Source organism: Homo sapiens, chromosome 2 (assembly GCF_000001405.40).
Source record: "Homo sapiens chromosome 2, GRCh38.p14 Primary Assembly".
Lineage (NCBI taxonomy): Eukaryota > Metazoa > Chordata > Mammalia > Primates > Hominidae > Homo > Homo sapiens.
This window is the reverse complement of record NC_000002.12, coordinates 233494033-233520238: the sequence shown is the minus strand read 5'-3', so window position 1 is coordinate 233520238 and position 26206 is coordinate 233494033. Positions and strand designations below refer to the sequence as shown.

Below are 26206 nucleotides of genomic sequence, written 5' to 3'. Positions count from 1 at the left end.
TGGGAGGACAGATTGTCTGACATCGGTTTTACTCCTAAATTTACAAGATTTTGTATCCTAGAGGAAATTAGGTTAAACTGAAAAAGGGAAAGAATCTAAAATAAAGTCATTTAAACAGAAATTTTAAATAGTGCACTCGGGCTGATAGTATACATTTTTATTTATGCTTACTGGCCCCACATTCATCATTCCTGACATAGAGAAATGTGATTGCCTGCAGTTTATTTTGTTTGCTTTCATGAGAAAAGTTACTGGTTTGTCAGCTTATTGCCTTTCAGCTAGTTTCTTTAGTTTCTGTAGTTTTCTACAGTTTCTGTAGTTTTCTGTAGGTGTCCTTTCTGTTCCAATTAACATCAATTTGGTAAAAACTTAACTATGAAGTCCTAAGTTTTTGCTTTTGATCTTATAAAAGGATTTCAGGGATGGAAAAATTTCCAGTGGGCAAAAACTACTAAATGTCAGGTAATTAATATCTCAAATAATTTGTTTATGCACACAGTGACAATCCTCATTTTCATCTCCTCCCATTTTTTACAACTTAGTCATTATTTTATTTCTCTGTTTTAGATGGTGTTTGATATTCGAATTAAAGCCATAAAGGAATTAAAATTAATGAAGGAACTAGGTAATCATTTACATTTTCTTTTCGGTTCTTAGTTTAGCTTAATTTTGGTCTTGAATTGAAGAAAATATAGGAGAATACAAAAAACAGTTTAGGGAGAACTCACATACCTACCACCCAAAATGGACAAATATTAACATTTTGTCATATGTTTGTTTTTGTTTGAAACATTATAAATGAAGTTAAAGTCCCCTGTGTTCTCCTCCTCAGACCTATTCTTTCTCTCCTTCCCCAGATACAATGAGTATATCTGATGTGGGTGTGTATCTAGTCCATGTATTCATGTTGTACTATACTGAATGTATATTCTGCAAACTCACTATTCACTTACCATTAGGCTTTCTGTGACAGCCTTATTAAGATATAATCTACATACCATAAAATTCACTCAGTTTAAGTGTTTAATTCAGTAATCATCAGTAAATGTGTAGAGTTCTATAACCATCACCACAATCCAGTTTTAGAATACTTCCATTACTCCAAAAATATCCCTGTACCCATCTGTATTCCAAGCCCCTGGCAACCACTAATCTGCTTTCTGTCTCTATAGACTTTATTTTCTTAATGTTTAATGTAATTGGAATCATAAAACATATAGTCTTTTGTGTCTGGCTTCTTTCACATAGCATATCATTTTTGAGGTTAGTCCATGATTTAGTACGTATCAATAGCTTGTTCCTTTGCATTGCTGACTAGTCTAGTATTCCATTATATGGATAGTATCACATTTTGTTTATCCTGGACAAACATGAATTGATAGACATTTGGATTGTCTCTACTTTTGTGCTTTTATGAATAATGCCACTATGAACTTTTACACATAAGTCTTGGTGAGGAGATATGTTTTCATTTCTCTTGGGTACATGTACCGGATTGGAATTGCTGGGTCATTTGCAAATTTATGTTTAACTTTATAAGAAACTCTCGCACTATTATCCAAAGTGACTGAACCATTTATACTCCCACTAGCAGTGTGTCAGGGTTGCAGTTTCTACATGTCCTTGTCAATCTGTGATTAATTGTGATTATCTTTTTTTTTTTTTTTTTTTTGAGACAGAGTCTCACTCTGTCAGCCAGGCTGGAGTGCAGTGACACGATCTCCGCTCACTGCAACCTCCGTCTCCCAGGCTCAAGCAATTTTTCTGCCTCAGCCTCCCAAGTAGCTGGGATTACAGGCGTGTGCCACCACGCCCAGCTAATTTTTGTGTTTTTAGTAGAGACAGGGTTTCACCATGTTGGCCAGGCTGGTCTCAAACTCCTGACCTCAGGTAATCTGCCCACCTCGGCCTCCCAAAGTGCTGGGATTACAGGCATGAGACACTGAGCCCAGCCATCTTTTTTTTTTTTTTTTTTTTTTTTTTTTTTAGAATCTGTTACTGGTTTGGTTTTGACTTTTAAAAAAAAAAACATATTTTGAGCACATTTTTTATTGTTATTTTTTCCATAGGTTATTGGGGTACAGGTGGTGTTTGGTTACATGAGTAAATTCTTTAGTGGTGCTTTGTGAGATTTTGGTGCACCTATCACACGAGCAGTATACACTACACCCTATTTGTAGTCTTTTATCCCTCATCCCCCTCCCACCCTTCCCCCCAAGTCCCCAAAGTCCACTATATCATTCTTGTGCCTTTGTGTCCTCATAGCTTAGCTCCCACGTATCAGTGAGAACATACGGTGTTTGGTTTTCCATTCCTGAGTTACTTCACTTATAATAATAGTTTCCAATCTCATCTAGGTCACGGCAAATGCCATTAATTCATTCCTTTTTATGGCTGAGTGGTATTCCATCATACACACACACACACACACACACACACACACACACACACACACACCACAGTTTCTTTATCCACTCATTGATTGATGGGCATTTGGGTTGGTTCCATGATTTTGCAATTGCAAACTGTGCTGCTATAAACATGCATGTGCAGGCCGGGCACAGTGGCTCACGCCTGTAATCCCAGCACTTTGGGAGGCCGAGGCGGGGAGACCACAAGGTCAGGAGATCAAGACCATCCTGGCTAACATGGTGAAACCCTGTCTCTACTGAAAAATACAACAAAAATTAGCCAGGCGTGGTGGTGTGCGCCTGTAGTTCCAGCTACTGGGGAGGCTGAGGCTGGAGAATGGCGTGAACCCGGGAGGCAGAGCTTGTAGTGAGCCGAGATCGCGCCACTGCTCTCCAGCCTGGGTGACAGAGCGAGACTCCGTCTCAAAAAAAAAAAAAAAACAAAAAACCATGCATGTGCAAGTATCTTTTTTGTATAATGACTTCTTTTCTTCTGGGTAGATACCCAGTAGTGGGATTGCTGGATCAAATGGTAGTTCTACTTTTAGTTCTTTAAGGAATCTCCACACTGTTTTCCATAGTGGCTGTACTAGTTTATGTTCCCACCAGCAGTGTTGAAGTGTTCCCTAATCACCATATCCACACCAACATGGCCATTCTACTGAATGTGAATTAGTATCTTAATGCATGTAAATTTAGCAAGAACTCAAAATCATATACAGAAATTCATTGCCTTTTTACCTACCAGCAACAACAACAACAAAATCGACATCAAAATTAAGAAAACATTTATAATAGCATAAAATATTATGGGATACTTAGACATAAATGAACAAAATATGTGCAAGACCTGTACACTAAAAACTAGAAAATACTGCTGTGAGATATTTAAGAAGACCTGAATAAATAAAGCAATATACAACATTCACAAATCAGACAACACAATATTCTTTTTTTTTTTTTTTCAATTCGAGACGGAGTCTTGCTCTGTCCCCAAGGCTGGAGTACAGGGCAGCAATCTTGGCTCACTACAACCTCTGTCTCCTGGGTTCAAGCGATTCTCTTGCCTCAGCCTCCCGAATATCTGGGTTACAGGCACCTGCCACCACGTCCAGCTAATTTTTCTTTTTTTTTTTTTTTGAGATGGAGTCTCGCTCTGTCACCCAGGCTAGAGTGCAGTGGTGCGATCTTGGCCCACTGCAACCTTTGCTTCCCGGGTTCACGCCATTCTCCTGCCTCAGCCTCTCGAGTAGCTGGGACTACAGGTGCCCGCCACCAGGCCCGGCTAATTTTTAGTGGAGACAGGGTTTCACCGTGTTAGCCAGGATGGTCTTGATCTGCTGACCTCGTGATCCGCCCGCCTAGGCCTTCCAAAGTGCTGGGATTACAGGTGTGAGCCACTGCACCTGGCCAGATGATACAGTATTCTTAAGAGGATAATTCTTCCCCATTTGATGTGTAGATTTAATATATTCTTACACAGAATCTTAACATTTTTTAAAGAAATTGACAAGCTGACTCTACAATTTTCATGGAAATACAAATAATTTAAAGTGGCCATAACACTTTTGAAAACAAGAGAACAAAGTTGGAAGAGTTACACTATCTGATTTCAAGGCTTACTCTAGACAGTGTATATTGGCATACAGGTAGACATATAGAGAGGAGGTCAGCAAACTATGGCCTACAACCTGTTTTTTTTCAGCCAGTGGGCAAAGAATGGTTTTCGCACTAGTAAAGGGCTGTTTAAACAAGAAGCATGTGCAACAGAGATCACATGTGGCCCGTGAAGCCTAAAATATTTACAGTGGAACTCAGAGAATCTAGAAATAGGTGCGTAGTCATTGACTTTCAACAAAGGTGCCAAGGTATTTTCATGCAGAGAGATAGCATTTTTTCAACAAATAGTGCTGGGCCATTTAGATATTTGTATGTGCAGAAATGAACCTCAAGCTTTACTTCGCCTGATGCAAAAATTAAATGGATCATACAACTAAAAGTTAAAACCTAAAACTACAAAATTTCTGGGAGAAAACATATGAGGAAATCTTTGTTACTTTATCATAAGGAAAGGTTTTTGTATTAAAGATAGGACTCAAAAAGCACAAACCATGGAAGAAAAGCCTAATTAATTTACATTAAAATTTTAAACTTCTACTCTTCAAAAAGCATTTGAAAAGGCAAGCCACAAACTGGGAGAAAATATTTATGAAACACATATTTGACAATCAACTTACATTCAGAATATTAAAGAAAAAAAAAAACCCTTGTAACCTAACCCAGGTTTAGAATCTTGAACAGACACTTTACAAAAGAAGACGTACCTATGAATGACCAGTAAGTACAGGAAAAAATGCTCAGAATCATTAGCAATCAAATTAAAACCAAATGACACCCTACTGTGCACCCAGTGGAGTAAATAAAACTTAAAATGTTAAGTCAACCAAGTGTTAGCAAGGATGTGGAGCAACTGGAACTCCCATATATTGCTGATGGGAAGGTAAAATGGGTAAGCCACTTTGGAAAAGTTAGCTTATTTCTTATAAATTTAAACATCCACTTACCAATTCTACGTCTAGGTATTTACTGAATAAGAGTTAAAACATATATCCTTATAAAGACATAAATGTTCCTAACCCCAAACTGGAAGCAATCCTAAAGCCCATGAGCAGGCGAATGGATGAACAAATGATGGTGTATTTAAGCAATGGATACTGTTCGTCACTGAAGAGCAAGGCACTGCTAGTTCCACCACATACAACACATGAATGCATCTCAAAGTCATTATGCCAAGAGAAAGAAAGTAGATGCAAAAGAGTACACATTGTGTGGTTCCATACATAGGACACTTTAGACAAATAAAATCTAAGCTGTAGTTACAGAAGGCAGATCAGGATTGGGAGGGAGGAAGAGGGATTGGCTGCAAATTGACAGGGAGTTTTAGGGGGGATGATGCAAACTATACCTCAGTTTGCTGGTGGTTACCAGATGTTTAGGTACTTATCAAACTATTAACTGTACATTTAAACCAGATGTATTTTATTATAAGAAAATTATAACTCAGTAAAGTCCATTAAAAGTCATTGGTTTATTAAATGCATAGTTTGCTGTCATCCCATGAAACTTGTCTCCCTTCTTCCACTCTTGCCCCTCTCCAAACCATTTGATCATCGTCAATACGTGTGAATTAGATCCTGTCACTCCTCCGCACAAAGCCCTTTAGTGCTTTCCATTGCACTTAGGTTAATTCCTTAACCTAGCCTACAAGAACCTGAATAATTTGACCCCTGCTTAACTGTAACCTTGTGATCTGCTTTTCTGCGTACTCACAACTCACTTCCCATGCTGACTTTTCTGCGTTTCTCAGTGCACAAGCTCTCTTTAACCCCCAAGACTTCTTAGTGCTCAGTCTCTCTTTCAAGTCTCTTCCCTTTGCTTTTAACTTCAGCTGTTTATTTGGTCTTATATGAGATGTTCCTTCTCCTTTCATCCCTGACCACACAGTCCCAGTTAATCTTGCTGATGTACTCTCCTAACACCCTGTACTTTTCCTTCATAGCATTTATCACTGTAGCTGCCCTTTTATTTGTGTTTTTAATATCCACCTCCCCCATTAGACAAGGTTCTGTGAGGACTGAGTTTACACTGCTTTGCTTACCACTGTATTTCCAGTTTCTAGCACAGTGCCTGGCACGTAGCCAATACACAGTAAGTACCTGTTCAGTGAAAACCAACAGATTTTAAAGAGACAGTATTTTAAAAGCACTTTTTAAGTTGGGGAACTCTTTAAGTAAATTGTTTCCGTCGACAAGAGATTTATGTGAGAATTGTATGCTAGCCTCATATTACTGTAATACAAGATATTGAACTCAGGAATCTCAGAAAGGGATTCTGCTGTGGTCTAATAAAGTTAGAACTTCTAAGGCTCAGACTATTGTTGTCTATACAGAACACTCAACCTTCCCCCACCCCTCCAATTTATGTCCTACTTTTTAAGAATTCTGTTTGAACTGAAAACTTGGTATGCCCCTTCCAAGCACCAGGGGATCTTGAGGAAATATATTCTTCCAAAGCAAGAATCTGTATCCTCAAACATAGCACATGCTGGCCGATTTAATAAGCATAAAATCACCCAACATATTTTAAATATAGGCAGTCTGCTTGTACTGCTCTGACATGCACGAATTTCATTACTACCATTTAGTTATATAACATCAATCCCCCAGCAAGATGGTTAAAATTTCAGCAACCATGGTATATGGTATATTAACTGTAACTGAATAAAGTACACACTTGACTGCCAGCTCTTCAGGGCACAATTCATCACATAAATAACACATGTGCACCACAAGCAGTAACCATTGACTTCATTTCTTTCAAGTCTGGTGGTTTGTCACTGCATGTACACTTCATTACACAGACAGCAAAGCATGTAGTTGTGTTGTAGTGCTAAACCCACCATGACATTTTACAAGAATACATAATCAAAAGAGGGAATTGACCAACAGAGAAGAAAGTACACAAAGAAACAAAAGTATATGGAGTTATAGAAGCAGCAGCTACCTCTGGGAATGTTGACCCTGCAGTCACTCAAGAGACTCTAGATATTGGAAGCTGATCCAAACTTAGAAAGGAGTATGACAGTTTGCCACAGGACAGGAAAAATGTCACTCTATATTATAAGCTATGCAATGAGAAGAAACCAAGCCCTGCTTAAACGACTCTTTATATGTAATTTACAAAGACAGAAAACATTTTAATTCTCAAAGATTCTAGTATTTTAAATTATAGTATAAATATTGGTTTTACTGTTTTTTCCTTTCCCAATACATGTATAATATTAATAACGAAGAGGGTTTTAAATGTTTCAACAAAAATTTTTAAGTGTCATGGAACGATTGTAATTTTTCCATTGATTATTAATATTGTTTTGCACAGTTTGACCAGGTACTTTTAGTCTTGCACTACTGCACAAAACAAAGACTGCCTGTACTTATTTTGGGGGTTTTTTCTTTGGTTGTTGGGGGGTTTTTGGTTTGTTTTTGTTTTTAGCTTTCTGTAGTTTTCTGCTAATTAACACAATAGAGCATCTCTCTTTTGTTTTCTGTGTTTGATGCTGTAACCAGCTTCCTTTTATTTTGATAATAGGATGAAGGTTATTAATTCCTAGCTCTCTAAGAAAAATAATATTCCTTTTATATATAGCTGACAACAGCTGTTTGAGACCTATTGATAGAAATGGGAAGCTTCTTTGTCCAGGTAAATCTTTTTGATAACTTTCAAAAGGTGGCTTATACTCGTCTGTCTTTCTTGATAAATAGTGGCCTCCAATACCTAATATTTAAAAATTACCTTTTGGAAACTGATTTATAGGACATATTTTCTTCCAGGTATCTTACCTTTATATTGCAGAAATCCTTAACCAGAAACAAACACTTCTGTTTTCTAAATGAAACACCATTCTTTCTGATTATCCGATTCTCATTTTACTCACGGGTTTGATCTAGTTATATTTTTTCCAGCTTTATTTTCAAAATTTTTCCATTTTTTTGTGAATTTTATTGCGATACCAATTATGAAATAAAATCTTCAGTTCTCATCTCTGTATCACCTCTTACCATTAGATTTAATTTAGTCATGGATGAGCCTAATTATTGATGGTAATAACAATCTCAACTTTAAACTTGGAAGAAGCTACTTCTTCATTTATGGATTGATTTGGATTATCTGGCTTTTAATCTATATAAACAACAGCTCTTTGAACAAGTCATTTTTATTAAGTAGGAAACTAGACTTTCATAGCTTCCATTTAGCATTGTTACATAGAAAACAGGAAGACAATATCTTAAGAGTATGGAAATTGAAAATCAAACCTAATCTTAGTGCATGTAATCCTTTTGTCTGAAGTGCAACTCATTTTTCTTCTTTCTTGATATTCTTGATTTTCAAAGAAATACTGATTTCAGCATTTATTTTTCTTAGAGAGCTAGGAATTAATAACCTTCATCATATTATCAAAATTTTTTTAAGTGCCGGACAGCTATACTTTGAAGGAAGCAGAATTGAAGATGGGAAGTTCATTGGGACTGTGTCTTGGAAAAGCACCAAGTTCGTCTCAGGTAAAATAAGGTCACCTGTTTCAAAACAAAATCAACCCTTCCATAACCAGAATTATAACTAGTACCTTAGCTACTCCAGTAATATTGTTTTTCTCTAAAAGTTTTTTCTTAAATCATACATTTTATTTTAGGAATATATCCTTATAGTTCTAGATGTTTAAATATAAAATATTATGCCAAAGCATATTTATGTTTCTTTTTCTGTGAAGATTTTGTGGTTAAAAGGAATCTTTGATGCTGAGTGGCCACCACTTTCAACCACTATATTTCCTAAGTTCTAAGATACACCTTCTTTTTCTCACATTTTTACATCTGTGAGATTAGGTTGCATCTTACAGTCAGGGACGTTCTGCAGTTATAGCTGGCACTGGTACAGAAAATAGTAAGTCTAACACTCAGTAGCATTTTAGGTTGAATGAAACACAGTTTATTAATTTTAGACTTAATTACTCTCTGCACTAATAGTCTCAGAGCAGCCTCCCTTTCCCCTTGTCTTTAACAGTGTCCATTTTCAGTATAAAACACCATCAGGTTTGACCTTTGCCAGAAGCCATACCCAGCTAATCAGCTTATTACAGTGCAGAAATCATAAGGATATTCTTATTGTGAATACCCTGTAGCAGGGTAATCTGGACTCAAATCAGGTTGCCCATGGTTCCCAAATTCACTTCATTACTTTCCCAACCACTTCCCCCTTAACTTGCTTTCCCCTGAACCGTAGCAAATAGTAGTGCATGACAAGCTGATAGGAGGGAAAACATGACAAGTGAGGTTGAGTTAGAAAGGAAAAGCAGGGCTATGAGGAACTGAATAAGAGATCAGATTTGTATTTTTCCTTTGGAGTCTTGAGAATTGTAATATTTGAAACCCTTGGCAGAAAATAAAATCATAACCAAGTGACTCAGAAAAAACATACTAATGCTAACTGTGTGTAGTAATTACAAATTCCTTTTGGGAGTGATCGAGACAGAGATGGAGATCATAGTAGAAGAAATAGTGTATGTTGGCCGGGCGCGGTGGCTCACATCTGTAATCCCAACCCTTTGGGAGGCTGAGGCGGGTGGATCACCTGAAGTCAGGAGTTCAACACCAGCCTGGCCAACATGGTGAAACCCTGCCTCTACTAAAAATACAAAAAATTAGCCAGGCGTAGTGGCATGCACCTGGAATCCCAGCTACATGGGAGGCTGAGGTAGGAGAATCGCTTGAACTTGGGAAGCAGAGGTTGCAGTGAGCCAAGATCGCTCCACTGCACTCCAGCCTGGGCAACAAGAGCAAAACTCCATCTCAAAAAAAAAAAAAAAAAAAAAAAAAAAGAAAGAAAAAGAAGTAGTGTATGTGGGAGACATTTATTAGGAGTAAAAAACATTGATGATGAAGCAATTTATACTTCTGGGTAGGCATAATTATTGCTTAAATTGTAACATTAATCATAGTCGTATTTTCATATAAATTGAGATTTTTTGTTAAAGTTTCATGGGCCCTTGGCTTTACATTTTTGAAAGTAAATAATACATTTATTGGATTTTTAAATTCAGATTAAATTGCATTTACACATCTGTCTTGTTATTAGTTGTTCCTGTTTTTTGCAATGGGGAGTGACGTTCAACCTGGGACAGAAATGGAAATCGTAGTAGAAGAAACAATATCTGTGAGAGATGTAAGTAATTTTACCTTTTGTTTTCAGAGGCTGTGTGTGTTTGTATGTTTGCTGTGAGGAACAGTGGTATCCTGTGTTAAGATTTGGAGGTCCTAAACTAGGCCTGATATGGTGTACTTCAGAGAATTATATGTACTCACTAGAGGAATTATTTTGGGAGCTTGAAAATTGGTGAACCAACTGGATTTTTTTTTTTTTTTTTTTTTTTTTAGAGAGTCTCAACTCTGTCACCCAGGCTGGAGTGCAGTGGCATGATCTCAGCTCACTGCAACCTCTGCCTCCCGGGTTCAAGTGATTCTCCTGCCTCAGCCTCCTGAGTAGCTGGGATTACAGTTACCTACTACCACACCCAGCTAATTTTTGTATTTTTAGTAGAGATGGGGTTTCTCCATGTTAGCCAGGCTGGTCTCAAACTCCTGACCTCGAGTGATCCACCCGCCTCGGCCTCCCAAAGTGCTGGGATTACAGGCATGAGCCATTCCACTCGGCCTCAACTGGAAATTTTAAATAAGATTACAATTTTTTTCTTTCTATCAATAATAGTTTTTTATTATAGAAATGTTGAATGTGCAGAAATTGATTAAAAGAAAAAAATGAAAACCTATCATTATTCTTTATCCTACCAATATTAACATTTTGGCATATTTTTTCTAGTATTTATATACACACACAGTGGTATGAATGTTTGTATATATGTGTGTATGTGATAAAGTAAATAATTATATTGCTGTTATTGAGAACTGAGACCTTTAGTATTGGAAAACAGAGAGACAAATAAAATCAGTGTGGTTTAAAAAAACCTGTTCTCCTGAATTTGAAATAGAAAAATCTGAATGAGCTTCATATATTTTTTCTTAAAAAATTTTTTTTCCAGCTCTGTCCCCTGATACAGGTTGGAAAGAGTGACCAACCTGGTAGCAGCAGAGTACCCCTGGCACCCAGATTATGGCTGCCAAATACCATTTTCTACAAACAGGAACCAGGGCATCTTAGAATAATGGCTGGTTATATATCTAGGTCAGGAAATAAGATGAGCCTGAAACATCTTACCATCACAGAAAGCAGTGAAGCCGCTATCCAAGACCATTGGAATCATCAAAGAGATTGAGGAGCCCACTAGTCAAAGATGAGACAATTTGAACTTGACTGAGAAAAATAATAAAAATTAATTGAAACAAGTACATAAAATCTGTAAATCTGTGAGTTCATAATGATCCTATACAAAAATGTGCAGTTACCTATAATGGATGCTAGGCAATCATAAAGGTAAAAAATAAAGCATTTTTTTTCCTGTTTTTCCCTTGCAAACTATATCCCAGGGTAGCTAAGCAGATAATGATAAGTTTTATTTATAAACATATTCCAACTAATAAATGAAGGCATTTTAGAATTTTACATTTTTTCAACTCCTAATAAATTAATGAACCTAGGCAAGGATCCTCAAAGATTGCTAGCCCCAAAAAAGAGCAACACTCAGACAACATAGAAATTCAGAACAATACCCATGCCCTTATTGCAAAAAACCAAACAACTGGACCTGAATCTGAATAAGCCTCTAGGTCTAATTACCAATTTATAGGAAATACAGGAGGCAGAGGAACAGGTTAAATTCATCACAGGTCTGCAATTAGCCAAATGTAGATCAGAAAACTCTTCTACAAAAGATAAATTGCAGGGGACAAGGACAACCTATAGGTCAAAAGAGGCTTAAAAGACATAGCAACCAGTTGCAATGTATGGACTTCTTTGGACCCTAACTCAAGCCAAAGGAACTTAAGTAATAATTTAAGAGAAAGTAGAGAAATGTGAACATTAGTTGGATATTTGCTGGTATTAAGAAATTCTTAATTTTTTAGCTGTCATAATCATTTTAGGTTTTTAAAAATATCTTTTAGAGATGCATAATAAATATTTACAGATGAAATTATATATCTGGCATTTGCTTCAAAAAATTCTGGGCAAGGGCAGGGAAAGTGGGTTATTGACACATAAAACTGGCCATGGCAATATGAGTTGAGCATCCCTGATCCCAAAATCCAAAATCCAAAATGCTCCAAAATCTGAAACTATTTAAAAAAAATTAAATTGACACGTATTTATGGGGTACATTTTAATATTCTGGTACATATATGTGTTGTATAATGATTAAATCAGGGTATTTAGCATACTCATTACCTCATGCACTTAGCATTTCTTGGTGGTGAGAACATTCAAGAGCTTTTCTAACTATTTTTTAATATACAATCCTTACTGTTAACTATCATCACCCTACTGTACAATAGAACACTAGAGCTTATTCCTTCTATTAGATTGTAACTTTGTACCTGTTGACCACCCTCTCCCATCCTCCCCTTACATCTCCCCCTCAGTCACTAGTAACTGCTGTTTTACTCTCTGCTTCTACGATGTCAACTCTTTTTTTTTTTTTTTAAGATTCCACATATGAGTGAGGTCATATTACCGATCAGCCTTTCTGTGCCTGGCTTCGTTCACTTAACATGATGTCTTCCAGGTTCATCCATGTTGTCACAAATAACAGGATTTTATTCTTTTTTATGGCTGAATAGTACCCTGTTGTGTATATATACCACATTTTCCTTACCTATTCATCCACTGTTGGATGCTTAGGTTGATTTGATATCTTGGCGATTGTAAATAATGCTCCATTAAACATGGGAGTGCAGATATCTCTTTGACACACTGATTTCATACCCTTTGGACACATACCCAGTAATGGGATTGGTGAATCACATGATAGTTCTATGTTTATTTTTGTGAGGAACATCTGTACTGTTTTCTATAATGGCCGTACTAATTTACAGTCTCACCGACAGTGCATAAATGTTCCCTTTTCACCACATTCTTGTAAATACATGTTTTCTCTTGTTTTTTTAATAGTAGCCATTCTAACTGGAGTGAGATGGTACTTCATTGTGGTTTTGATTTACATTTCCTTTATGATTTGTGATGTTGAGCATTTTTTGTGTGCGTACCTGTTGGCCATTTGTATGTCTTTTGAGAAATGTTTACTAAAGTCTTTTGCCAATTTTTATATCAGGTACTTTTTTTTTGCTGTTGAATTGTTTAAGTTCCTTATATAATATATTCCGGATATTAACTCTTTGTTAGATTTTTTTTTTAAGACAGTCTTTCTCTGTCACCCAGGCTGGCATGCAGTGGGGTGATCTCAGCTCACTGCAACCTCCACCCCCAGGGCTCAAGTGATCCTTCCATCTCAGCCTCCGAAGTAGCTGGGATCGCAGGTATATGCTACTATGCCCAGCTATTTTTTTTTTTTTTTTTTTTTTGTATTTTCGGTAGAGGCAGTGTCTCACCATGTTGCCCAGGCTGGTCTTGAACTACTGAACTCAAGTGATCTGCCCATCTCGGCCTCCCAAAGTGCTGGTATTACAGGCGTGAGCAACCCCGCCCAGCTCCCTTTGTTAGATTTATACTTTGCAAACATTTTCTCCCATTCTGTAGGTTGTCTCTTTACTCTGTTGTTTCTTTTGCTGTACAAAAGCTTTTTAGTTTGCTATAATCCCATTTGTCTATGTTCTTTTGTTGCCTGTGCTTTTGAGGCAACCAAAGCTTATTTTAAAAATTCTTGCCTAATCCAGTGTCATAGTGTTCCCCCTATGTTTTCCTTTAGTAGTTTCATTGTTTTGGGTTTTACATTTAAGCATTTAAACCATTTTGAGTTGATTTTTGTATTTAGTGAGAGTTAGGGAATCTAGTCTCATTATTCTGCATGTGGAGATCCAATTTTCCCAGAACCATTTGTTGAAGAGACTATCATTTTCCCAATGTGTGTTCTTGGCACATCTATCAAAAATTAGTTGGCTGTTAAGTTTGTGAATTTATTTCTGGGCTCTTTATTCTGGTGCTTTGGCCTATGTGTCAGACTTTTTGCCAGTACCCTGCTGTTTTGGTTACTTTTGCTTTGTAGTATATTTTGAAGTAAGGCAGTATGGTGCCTCCAGCTCTGTTCTTTTTGCTCACAATTGCTTTGACTATTTGGGTTTTTTTGTGGTTCCTTATGAATTTTTTCATCCTTGGGATGAATACCACTTGATAATTATGAATGGTCTTTTTAACGTGCTTGTTAAATTCAGTTTGCTAATACCTTGTTGACAGTTTTTCATCTATGTTCATCAGGGATATTGGCCTATAGTTTTCTTTTTTTGTTGTTGAATCTACATCTGGTCTTGGAATCAGGATAATGCTGGCCTCATAAAATGAGTTTGGAAATATTCACAACTTTTCAATTTTCTGGAGTAGTTTGAGGAGAATTGATATTCTTTAAATGTTTGGTAGAATTCAGCAGTGAAGCCATTAGGTCCTCAGCTTTTCTTTGATGAAAGACTTTATTACTGAAAGCATTTTCTCACTTGTTGGCCTGTTCAGATTTTCTATTTCTTCATCATTTAATCTTAGTATATTGTATATGTCCAGGAATTTATCCATTTCTTCTATGTTTTTAAATTTATTGGCAAGTAGTTGTTCATAATAGTCTCTTATGATCCTTTGTATGTCTGTGGTATCAATTGTAATGTCTGATTTTCATCTCTGACTTTATTTGAGTCTTCACTCTTTTTTTCTTAGTCTAGCTAAAGGTTTGCCAATTTTATCTATTAAAAGAACCAGTTTTTAATTTTGTTTCTCTTTTGAATTGTTTTGTTAGTTCCTATTTTGTTTATTTCTGCTCTGAGCTTTATTATTCCCTTCTGCTTCTTTTGGGTTTAGTTTGTCCTTATGTTTCTAGTTCCTTGAGGTTCATGGTTAGGTTGTTTAGTAGAAATCTTTCTTCATTTTTGATCTAGGCATCTATTGCTGTGAACTTCCCTCTTAGAACTGTTTTTGCTGTATCCCATGGGTTTTGGTATAATATGTTTCTATTTTAGTCTCAAGGCATTTTAAAATTTCCCTCTTACTTTCTTCATTGACTTATTGGTTCTTTGGAAGCGTGTTTAATTTCCATGTATTTGTAAGGTTTTCAAAGTTTTTCTTTTTGATTTCTAGTTTTATCGTGGTTAGAAAAAATACTTGATATGATCTCTGTCTTGTTAAATGTATTAAGACTTGTTTTGTGGTCTAATGTATGCTCTATCATGGATAATATTCTCTGTGCAGTTGACAAGAATGTGTATCCTGCAGTTGTTGATGGACTGTTCTATAAATATCTGTTAGCTCCGTTTGGTCTATGGTGAAGTTTAAGTTTAATGTTTCTTTGTTGATTTTCTGTCTCGATGATCTTTCCATTATTGAAAGTGAGGTGTTGAAGTCCCTACTATTATTGTATTGCAGTCTTGTTCCCCTAGAGGTCTAATAATATTAGCTTTATATATTTGGGTGTTCTGGTGGTGTTTGCATATATATTTACAATTGTTATATCCTCTCATTGAATCCCTTTATATCATTATAAATGACATAATAATGATATATAGTGATTATATAACAAGTTATTATATAATGACCTTCTTCTACAATGACCATTATCAATTATAATGACCTTTTACAGTTTTTGAGTTAAAGTCTATTTTACCTGACATAAATGTGGCTACTCTTGCTCACTTTTGGTTTCTATTTGCATGGACTATCTTTTTCCATCCCTTCACTTTCAGTCTATGTTTGTCTTTAACAGTGAGGTGAGTCTTTTTTAGGCAACATATAGTTGGGTCTTCTTTTTTTTAACCCATTCAGTCACTTTTATATCTTTTAATTGAAGAATTTAATCAAGGTTATTATTGATAAGTAAGAACTTACTCCTGCCATTTTGTTAATCGTTTTCTGGTTGTTTTGTAGATCTTTTTCTTCCTTTCTGGTTGTTTACTTCTGTGGTTTGATGGTTGTCTATGGTGCTAAGCTTTGTTTCTTTTTCTTATTTGTGTATTTTCTGTCATGTCTTTCTTTGTGGTTACTGTTGCACTAAGATAGAGAGTCTTGTACTTATAATAGACTATTTTAAGCTGTATCCAACTCACCTTTGGTCATATAAAAATAGTCTAGAATTTTTTCCCTTCCCTCTACAATTTATATTTTTGTTGCCTTAATTTACATCTTTATTGTGTCCTTAGCCACTAATAGTAACTGTTGTTGTTTTTGGCTATTTTGACTTTAAACCTTCATGGAAGAGGATTGATAAATTTATATAGCACCATTGCGACACTGGGGTATTCCAAGTATGATTATGAATTTACCTATACTTGTGAGTTTTATACTTTCATGTGTTTTCATGATAGTAATTATCATCCTTTTGTTTCCAGTTGTAGTGCTCCCTTAAGTATTTTCTTGTAAGATTGGTCTAGTGGTGATAAATTCCTTTAGCTTTTTGCTTATCTGAGATTTATATCTCGCCTTTATTTCTGAAGGATAGCTTTGCTGGATATGATATTCTTGGCTGACAGTGTTTTTTTCTTTCCTATATTACCCCCATTTTCTTCTGGCCTGCAAGGTTTCTGCTAAGAAATCCACTGATAGTCTACTGGGGATTTCCTTATATGTGACTTAATGCTTTTATCTTGTAGCTTTCAGAATTCTCTTTTTGTCTTTAACTTTTGAGAGTCTTATTATAAAGTGCCCAAAGAGGATCTTTTTGTGTTGAATCTAATTGGGGAACCTGTGAGCTTTCTGGATCTGGATGTCCATATCTCTCCTGGACTTGGGAATTTTTCACCTATTATTTAATTAAATAGATACGCTGTGTCTTTTGTCATTTATTCTCCCCCTGGCACTTCTACAATGAGAAAACTTGTTCATTTAATGGTGTCTTGTTGGTCCTGTAGGCTTTCTTCATTCTTTTTAAATTGTTAATTCTTTTTATTCTTCTGACTGGGTTATTTCAAAAGACCTGTCTTCAAGTTCAGAAATTCTTTCTCTGATGAATTTCTGATTCAGATTATGAATGAATTTTTCTGATTTTGTTGAATTTTGGATTGTCTGTATTCTCTTGTTTATGAGTTTCCTTAAGATCATTGTTTTGAATTTCTCTTCAGGCATTTCATAAATATACTTTTCTTCGGGGTTTGTTACTGGAGACTTACTGTGTTCCTTTCAGAATATCATCTTTCCTTGGCCCTTCATATTTCTTGTCTTCTTATGTTGATATCTTCACATTTACTTGAACACTTACTTTTTCCAATTTTATGGAGTAGCTATTGTAGGGAGGAGCTTTTTCCTATAGATGGATTCTAGGGTGTCTGTTGGAAATGATGTGTTGTTGGCTTTGGTTCTTGGTGGGCTCAGTAGCATGATCCCTATGCCAGTTCTTCAGCTGTAATCCTCATTAATGATGTGTGCAGTTGCCTCAATTTCCTAGGTTACGGGTGTTTGTGACAGAGGTGACATGGTTTGGTGGAGGAAAGGATGCTGGTTTGTGCTGCTACCAAGCACAACCTGAGCATAGCTGTGTGTTGGTCTCTCTGGGGAGGGGGATACTGCCACACTTGCTATTGGGCTGGGTGCAAACATGTGTGGGTCAGGCAGCTGTGCAGCGCTCTCTCTGGGGAGGCAGGGCCACTGCCAGATTGCAAAATCCAAAACTTTTTGAGCACTTTTTGACCCTTTGACATGACACTCAAAGAAAATATTCATTGGAGCATTTCATATTTAGATTTTTGGATTGAGGTTACTTAGCTGGTAAGTATAATGCAGATATTCCAAAAATTTTTTTTAAATCCAACACTTCCAGTCCTAAGTATTTCAAATAAGGGATACTCAACCTGTAATTGGGACTGGGTGATGGGTATTTGAGGATCATTTTACTATTTTCTGCAGGTATTTTCCCAGTTTTTTACTGGCCTTTTTAACTTTACATTTTTTAATTTCAAGGAAAGAAACCACAAAACTTTTCAAAAGTGATGTATCTTCCTTTCTGTACTCCGTTGAACCCCTTGCAGGCAGACTTGTTCCTTGCTATGTCACTGAAACAGCTTATGTCAGGGTCATTAGTGGCCTCCACATTACTATGTCCAGTGAGCAGTTTTTACTCTTCATGTTACTTGCTCTATCACCAACATTCGATGTACCTGATGACTCTATTCTTTGAAACACTTTTGTCACTGGGCTCCAGAAGACCACAACTCCAGGTTTTCCTTATATCCCACTGGCCTACCCTTCTCAGTTTGCTGTCTCCTCCTCTTCTCTATCTTTGAGCATTCTGCTGCCCAGTTCTTAGATTGGACCTCGGCCCAGAACATCCAGCTGCCACTTGGTTGTCTAACAATCATCCAAACCTAGAACATATTCACAGTAAAGCTCTTCTTATTCTCCCTGAAACATAACCCGCTCATATTTTTCTCTTTTTCAGTTAATGGCAACTCCATTTTTTACTTGCTTAGGCTGAAAGCCTTGAAGTCATCCTTGATTCTTCTCTTTCTTACTTCACATTCAGTTTCACAAGGACATCTTTTGGTTCTACCATCAAAATGCATCTAGGATCTGACCACATCTCATTCTGTTCATTACTACCACCCTGTCAAACCTGTCATCTTTTTCATCTGAAATGAATTTCATCCATCAGCTTCCTAACTGATCTCCTTCCTTATAGCCTTGCACTTCCCAGGGTCTGTTCTTATAAAAAGTTGAGTGATCCTTTAAAATGTAAGAGAGATTAGTCACTCCTATACTCACAACCCTCCTGTGGTTTCCCATTTTACCCAGAGTAAGAGGTGAAGTCTTGAATGTCTGCACAAGGGCCTATGTGATCTGGTTCTCTGGTATCATTTTTGTTATATTTTCAAACCTCCAACCATTTCCCCCTCTTACTCACTGTGCTTCAGCCACACTGGCCTTCTTGCTGTTTCTGAAATAAGGCTTTTATGCTCTCTATTTCCCCTTCCTAAAACACAATTAAGTTGATTGCTCAATTGTTTGATTGTTTTTCTTAAATACAATGTTTAAGGCTTTAAGTTTTCTTAGAATATAAGCTTGCTTTCATTCATCCACCATATTTTAGTATACTGTGTTTTTATCATCATTTTCTAAACAATCTATAATTATATTTTAAAGCCTTATTTTTTGTCATACAAGTAATCATGGATTTCTTCTCACTTTTTAAACTTCTAGGGGATTAACAATCCCCCTTGGTTACCACTCTATTCTAGTCCTTTCTCTAGAAGTCACTGTTGCAATCAGATAACATCATCTTATCCACATCAGCAGAGTATGTGTCCCTCCAGACCTTTGCTGTGCCTATACCAGCATGTGTCTATATACATACATATAGAAATGAAGAGTGTGCTTTGCTTCTGTGATTTCTTTTAAATTATAAATGGGATCACTTTGCATGTATTATACTAGAACTTTGTTTCACTTAAAATATTTTAAAGATCTTTTAAGACCAATATATATGAATCTGTTTTTTTCTTTGAACTGCTTTAAGACATTTCCTACTTTTTAAAAAATCTCCCATTAATGTGTATTTTGGTGGGGTTTTTTTTGCCATTTTTCTTTTATTACAAACAGTACAGCAGTGACTTCCTTATTTTTGCTCTCTTTTGCTCTAGTGTAATAGAAATCAAATTGTATTTGCTCGCTTGTCCAAGATTTAATTAGCAATGTTTTTCCCTCAAGAAATTGTTTTAATTACTATTTTTGTTTTATTTAAACTTTTGTTAATATTGTCTCATTTTTGCATTATGCCATGACATCACAGCTTGCACAATTCTTGTGAGTTTTTATATTTAGGGAAAACGGGGAAATTCAGACAGTCATAAAGAGAAGAGAGAAGGGAGAACTTTCCCCAAATGCTATCAATCTCGCCTTTTATAGGATTCAGAGTTTAATGTCTATGAAATTAACTTGATTAATCATATCTGGCCAAAGACACACAGTTAATCCTTACAGGAAGAAAGTCATGGTTCAAACCTGGGAGTTGGTGGATGAAACTTTGAACTAAGTCCTGCTTGCAAACACCAGAAACTGCTTTTTCCTCTTCCTGAATTGGCCCCATCTAGCCTTTAGAAAGGAAAGCTGACTCGTGTATTATCTTCTTAACTATGTCTATCCTTGCCTATTCAAGAATCATTAAATATAGTCAGACTTAAATAGGCCTAGGGTCCAAAAAGGGTGTTTGTCCTAGAACTGTAACTCAGAAACAGAAAACTAACATTGGACATTGTTTTTCTTTACAGTGTTTAAAGTTAATGCTGAAGAAATCTGGCCTACAAGGTAAGTTACTTACCATGATGACATATTACTTAAAAGCCTAATAAAAATTTTTTTGACTTTTTTTTTCTCCAGGGTTGTAGGAAAAAAAAATTTATAGGGTGTGGAGAAATAAAAAGTAGTTTACACTTCCATATGTACATAATGAATTCTCCTGGTTCTTGTTGGCATGCTGAAAGAAAACTAATGGTATAGCTCTGAGTAGAGAATTTAGATAGGATCCAGCAAAGGTACAAAGTAGGAATGTTTTACAGTGTTGGTGGGAATGTAAATTAGGTCAACCATTGTGGAAGACAGTGTGGCAACTCCTCAAAGACCTAGAACCAGAAATGCCATTGATCCAGCAATCCCATTACTGGGTATATACCCAAAGGAATATAAAGTATTCTATTATAAAGATACATGCACATGTATGTTCATTGCAGCACTGTTCACAATAGCAAAGACATGGAATCAACCCAAATGCCCATCAGTAATAGACTGGATAAAGAAAATATGGTACATATATACCATGGAATACTGTGCAGCCATAGAAAGGAATGAGATCATGTCCTTTGCAGGGTCATGGATGGAGCTGGAAGTCATTATCCTCAGCAAACTAATGCAGGAACAGAAAACTAGACACCACATGTTCTTACTTATAAGTGGGAGCCAAACAATGAGAACACATGGACACAGGGAGGGGAATAACACACATTGGGGCCTGTTGGTGTATGGGGGGGTGGGAGTGGGGGAGGGAGAGCATCAGGAAAAATTGCTAATACATTCTGGGCTTAATACCTAGGTGATGAGTTGATAGGTGCAGCAAACCACCATGGCACACGTTTACCTGTGTAACAGGCCTGCACATCCTGCACATGTACCCCAGAACTTAAAATAAAAAGAACGCTAAGATGTATACCACCTGGAGCCACGCAGGTCTTCCACTGATTCCTTTCAATTTTATTGATTCCAAATTTCAGTGCATTCTGTTTCATGTCAGTATTTTTGTGGTATAGATGACGGAATGTAAAATGAATGAAAAAAATAAATCTAAGATAACTGAAGCAACTTTCCAGGTGAGATCATGTCAGTGAGCTTGATGAGACCTCATTCTGATTTCAGTAGCACACTTTGCTGTTCTCAGACTTCATTAACATGGAGGCCCATAGCTTTATTATCTGGAAAGGAAGTTAAGGTGCTCTGGGTGCAAGACATTCTTCTAGAAGTTACACGCAACGTCTCACCTAACTTTGAATTTTTTTTATCCCAATTTTGACTCCTTTATAGGAGATGCCTGGCATTTACGAAAAATGGATTGGTGCTATGAAGCTGGAGAGCCTTTATGTGAAGAAGTAAGATGATTTCTATACATTGTACTTTCGTATGATTACATTTATGTCATATTTTCGTACAAGGTACCCATTCCACTCATGAGAAAGCTTTAATTACTTTCTATAGGATACAAATATCTATGAATGGGTCTATTTTACTTTTTTCTTACTATAGTTTTTTGATAAAGGGGAAGTCACAGTGCAGTGGGAACATTTCTGACATCTGTGGTAAACCCCCTTGCCATGAGAGTATGCCTCTAGGAGGAGCAGTTCATGAGAAGGCAGAGAACTTCACAGAACAAATGACATTTGAGCTCATGAAGGAATTTTATAGATACACTCTGAAGTTTTGGCCCCTGAATGTTTTGATCTCAGAGTTTCTCTGTAAGGTAATGGTGGCAGAATTTCTTACTAACCATTCCTAAGTTAGGCTTTGGTCCAAACTCTCGATCCAGCCAAACTGTTAGGGTAGCCTTAGGAATAATTTTATCACAGGAGAGTTGGAATCTAGTTGGTCATCTTGTTGGTCCAAATAGCATGATATTTCCCAGTTCAAATGCGTAGCCTTAGAAGAAGACCCAAAATAAAGCTCTGTGGGGAGTCTGAGGGAGCTGTGGTCAGCCGCCCTTTCCCCAGTCTTCACCTGCCTACTTCCTGTTCTTTAAGAAGGGGCACTGAATGCCAGCAGAAGGTTGATTTAGGGAGGTATGCTGGGGCCTTGCCCTGGAATGCTCTTTGCTGTTTAGCAGTCAGTAAGTCAATAGCAAGAGGCCCCTCTTGGGGCCTGGGCAGGAGTTTGACTGCCTGGAGTAAGAAGTGGACCTCAAAGCATCTTTAGGACATAAAATTTGGATGTCAGAAGAATATATTTACCCAAATAGCTTCAGCATTTTCTTCTCTATTAATTCCCAAATTGGCATCAAAGAATTCAGCCAGAAGCCAACTCATTACCCTTGGAACTGGCTTCTCGTTCCAGCCTTGCCAGGTATCTTTCCCATCCTAATCTTCAAGAGTAAAATATCCTCCTTATCTTTCATTCTTCATGTTTCCTCTCAGCCTCCAAACTGTCAGCTTTTCCACCCCTTCCCTGACCATTCCCATGCTTGGCTCCAGGTCCAAGCCTTCGTATGCCTCTCACCTAAATTATTATGGCTTTCCTGGGCCCAGGCGTTCCCTGCTTCAATGTCATGCATATTGCAGCCAGATTGATCTGGAAAATCTCCTCAGAAATCTTGTGTGGCTCCTTTATTTCTATTCCATGTCCTGTGGTTAGTGCCTGCCCTTCCAGTCCGGTGTGACCTCCTGGTACTTTCCACTCGAATCAGTGTGGCTTTAGCGCTTTACCAAAACAAGCCATATTTACTATCAACCTTAACTTAGCCCTTGTCCTTTTTTTCGTGAGAAATTCCTTCTGTTATTTTCTCTAGCTTTCCAAATCCAACCCATCTTTTTAGGATTAATTAAAATTTCATCTTCTGTAAATCAGTTTCTCATTTCTCATCTCATCTAACTCCCTTGCCTCAGTTCTTCTGTCAGACTTACAGCTTATGCCCCACAATTTAACAAATAATGCTGTACTGATTTTATAGTCTTAGCTTATTTCCTGTGTCTTCCATATCTGCTTTATTATTCATTTAATTTTTGAAAAGATAATAGAGGCATGGGGTTTTAAAAAGATCAATGATCTGCTCCTTTCAGAAGTCATAAGTGACAAAAAAGCATTTTTGTCTTCCCAGGATGCAACACTGAAAGAACTTCTGATATGTTCTGGAGATACTTTGCTTTTAATTGAAGGACAACTTCCTCCTCTGGTAAGATTTTACTTCTGAATAGACAACTCTTAAGTAATAATTGTTATCTGATTACAGAGATGATACAGCCTCATTTAGGGAAAATGGGGAAATTCAGACAGTCATAAAGAGAAGGGAGAACTTTCCCCAAATGCTATCAATCAGATATGTTTCCTAACTTGTAAATATTCTCACACAAAATTAAAATCAATTATATGTAACATTTTTATTTCCTACTTTTTATATTTGACATTTTAACCTTCTCATAAAATCCAAAAATAATCATCATATCCAAGGTAATGTTTTACTAATTTAATTGATCTATATCCTCATTGTTGGAAACTTACCGTGTTTTTAACATTTTGTTTTTATAAATAGTACTGAAATAAGTCCTTCAGAAAATAGTTCTAAATGTGGAATTCCTAAGTCCAAAGGTGTGACCTCTTGAAAGCCTTGATGTTCTATGCAGTAGCATATGAGAGGGCTCATTTCACTGCCCTTTCGTAAGCATCGCATAGCACTACTTTCTAAAACCAGTATCGTTTCTTTTAAACTGAGGATGCACGTAAAAGTGAACCCAAAAGAGAAACAAATGGCCCCAAACTCCAAGACTCAGATAACTGTTTGCTTATGATTAGAAAAGTCAGACAGTACAGAAAGCTTGAAATGAAAAGCAGAAATCACTCCTACACCTTTTCTCTGCAGAGAGAGCCACAGTTAGCTGATTTTTCCTCCTGTATCCTTCTAAGAAAAACATTACACATATTTGTTTGCTGAAGGCAAATATGTGCATATCCTTTTTAATGTATTCGCTACATTGTTTTACACTTGTTTTGTTTGCTTTTATTCACTTACTGTATCTTGCGGAGCTCCTCATATCAGCACATACACACCTACCTTATTCATTTTCGTAACTTTGTAGAATTCTATTATATTTTGTACAATGATCTTTAAAGTTAATTTTTGAATAGGCAATACTCATAATACAAAATTCCAGGTGTTATGAAAAGCTGGGCCAGGAAAAGCAAGTGTCCCTACTGTCTCTGGGTCCAGCCACCCAGTGTCCTCTCCCCGACAGGCAGCTGCTTTTCTCTGCATCCTTCCAAAGGCCTTTGCTTTTTAATATACACACACACTTGCACACACTGAAGTGTGCTAGCTTTTCCCACCTCATTTTTTGTTACTGAAGAATTTTAATAGGTTTATTAAGAGATAAAAGGTAGGCTAGGCACGGTGCCTGATGCCTGTAATTCCAGTACTTTAGGAGGCCAATGCAGGCAAATCGCTTGAGCTCAGGAATTCAAGACCAGCCTTGGCAACATGGTGAAACCCTGTCTCTTTTCAATAAAAATTTAAAAAGTAAAAAAAAAAACAAGAAGAGAGATAAAAGATGTTACTGTTACAACACTTAATTTCAAACAATAGACAATGACAATGTGAAGACTAACCATGTAAAATATTTTAAATACATAGTTCAATGTGTATATACATAGCATATATATCCACACATACACAGATTTATTCCTTTTTATTTGCACAAAAGATTATTTGCTAGGCAACCTATTCTGTACCTAGATTTTTTTCATTAATATTTTATCTCCTAGTGTATGCTGTGAAGCTATCTCATTCAATTTAGTAGCTTCATAATACTCCATTGTTTGGAGGACTATAATTTATTTAACCAGTCTCTTTTTGAAGAATATTTAGGTCATTTCCAGTCTTTTGTTGATACAAGTAACAATGTAAAAAATATATTTATTTTATATATTTATTTATTTATTTATTTTTTATGTGTGTGTATATATATATATATATATATATAAATATATATATATATATATATATATATATATATATATATATGCCATTTTGCTTGTATATGAGTATATCTACAGGATAAATTCCTAGAACTGAAATTGCACAGTTTTTTTTTTGGTTTTTTTTTTTTTTTTTTAGAAAGGATCTGACTCTTGTCACCCGGGCTGAAGTACAGTGGCATGATCATAGCTCACTGCAAGCTCGATCTCCTGGGCTGGGACTACAGGCACACTGTGCCTGGCTAATTTTTAAACATTTTTTTATTTTTGTCTTGCTTTGTTGCCCACACTGATCTTGAACTCCTGGGCTTAATCGATCCTCCCACCTCAGCCTCCCCAAAGTACTGGGATTACAGCTGTGAGCCACCAAGCCCAGCCAAAAATCTTTTAAAGAGGGTCCTTGAAGTTGGTTCATGGTTTTTGGTCCCATAAACAATTTGTAAGAATATTCTTGCATATGTGGCTTTCTATGCATGCACTAGTATATCAGAATGTAAATTCCTAAACGTGGAATGGCTGGGTCAAAGGACTTGCACATTTTAAAATATGACAGGTACAGGCAAATTATTCTACAGAAACTTCTCAGCAGTTTATATTCCTGCTACCAACTTACAAATGTTCAAGTTTACCCATATTTTCACCAACATAATTTTCTGGTTTTTGACAGTCTGCTAGGTGAAAAAAAAAAATGGAATTTTGTTGTTCTGATTTACATTTATTTAATCGAATGAAGGTCAAATATTTGTTAATCTTCACTAATCTGATAAACAGAAAAATATTCTAATGCACATTTCTTGAACTATCTATTTAAAATGTTTTAGGTGGTTAATTTTTATTCTCATCTTCTATTGTTGGAAATTAAGTGCTGCAACAATAGCACCTTTTATCTCTTAATAAACCTGTTAAAATTCTTCACTAACAAAAAATGA

General features: G+C 36.4%; 1 protein-coding gene across 25 annotated transcripts in view; it reads left to right on the top strand.

Moving 5' to 3' along the window:
- USP40 (ubiquitin specific peptidase 40) overlaps positions 1-26206 on the top strand; it is a 91257-nt gene that overhangs the window by 46544 nt on the left and 18507 nt on the right. For 13 of the 25 annotated variants that reach the window (NR_168054.1, NR_168049.1, NR_168051.1 and 10 more), the window contains 7 exons: positions 568-625; positions 7617-7670; positions 8442-8530; positions 10104-10190; positions 20324-20360; positions 21627-21691; positions 23407-23481. Coding sequence is in view for 19 of the 25 variants with exons in the window: in NM_001382295.1 (NP_001369224.1) it covers positions 568-625; positions 7617-7670; positions 8442-8530; positions 10104-10190; positions 20324-20360; positions 21627-21691; positions 23407-23481 (465 nt within the window). In the remaining 6 variants the exon portion in view is untranslated. Of the gene's footprint in view, positions 1-567; positions 626-7559; positions 7585-7616; positions 7671-8441; positions 8531-10103; positions 10191-11064; positions 11372-13355; positions 13454-20323; positions 20361-21614; positions 21692-22595; positions 22656-23406; positions 23482-26206 lie in introns of those variants that run through there. The other 12 variants (XM_011511399.3, XM_011511397.3, XM_047444890.1 and 9 more) reach the window with 5 other exon arrangements.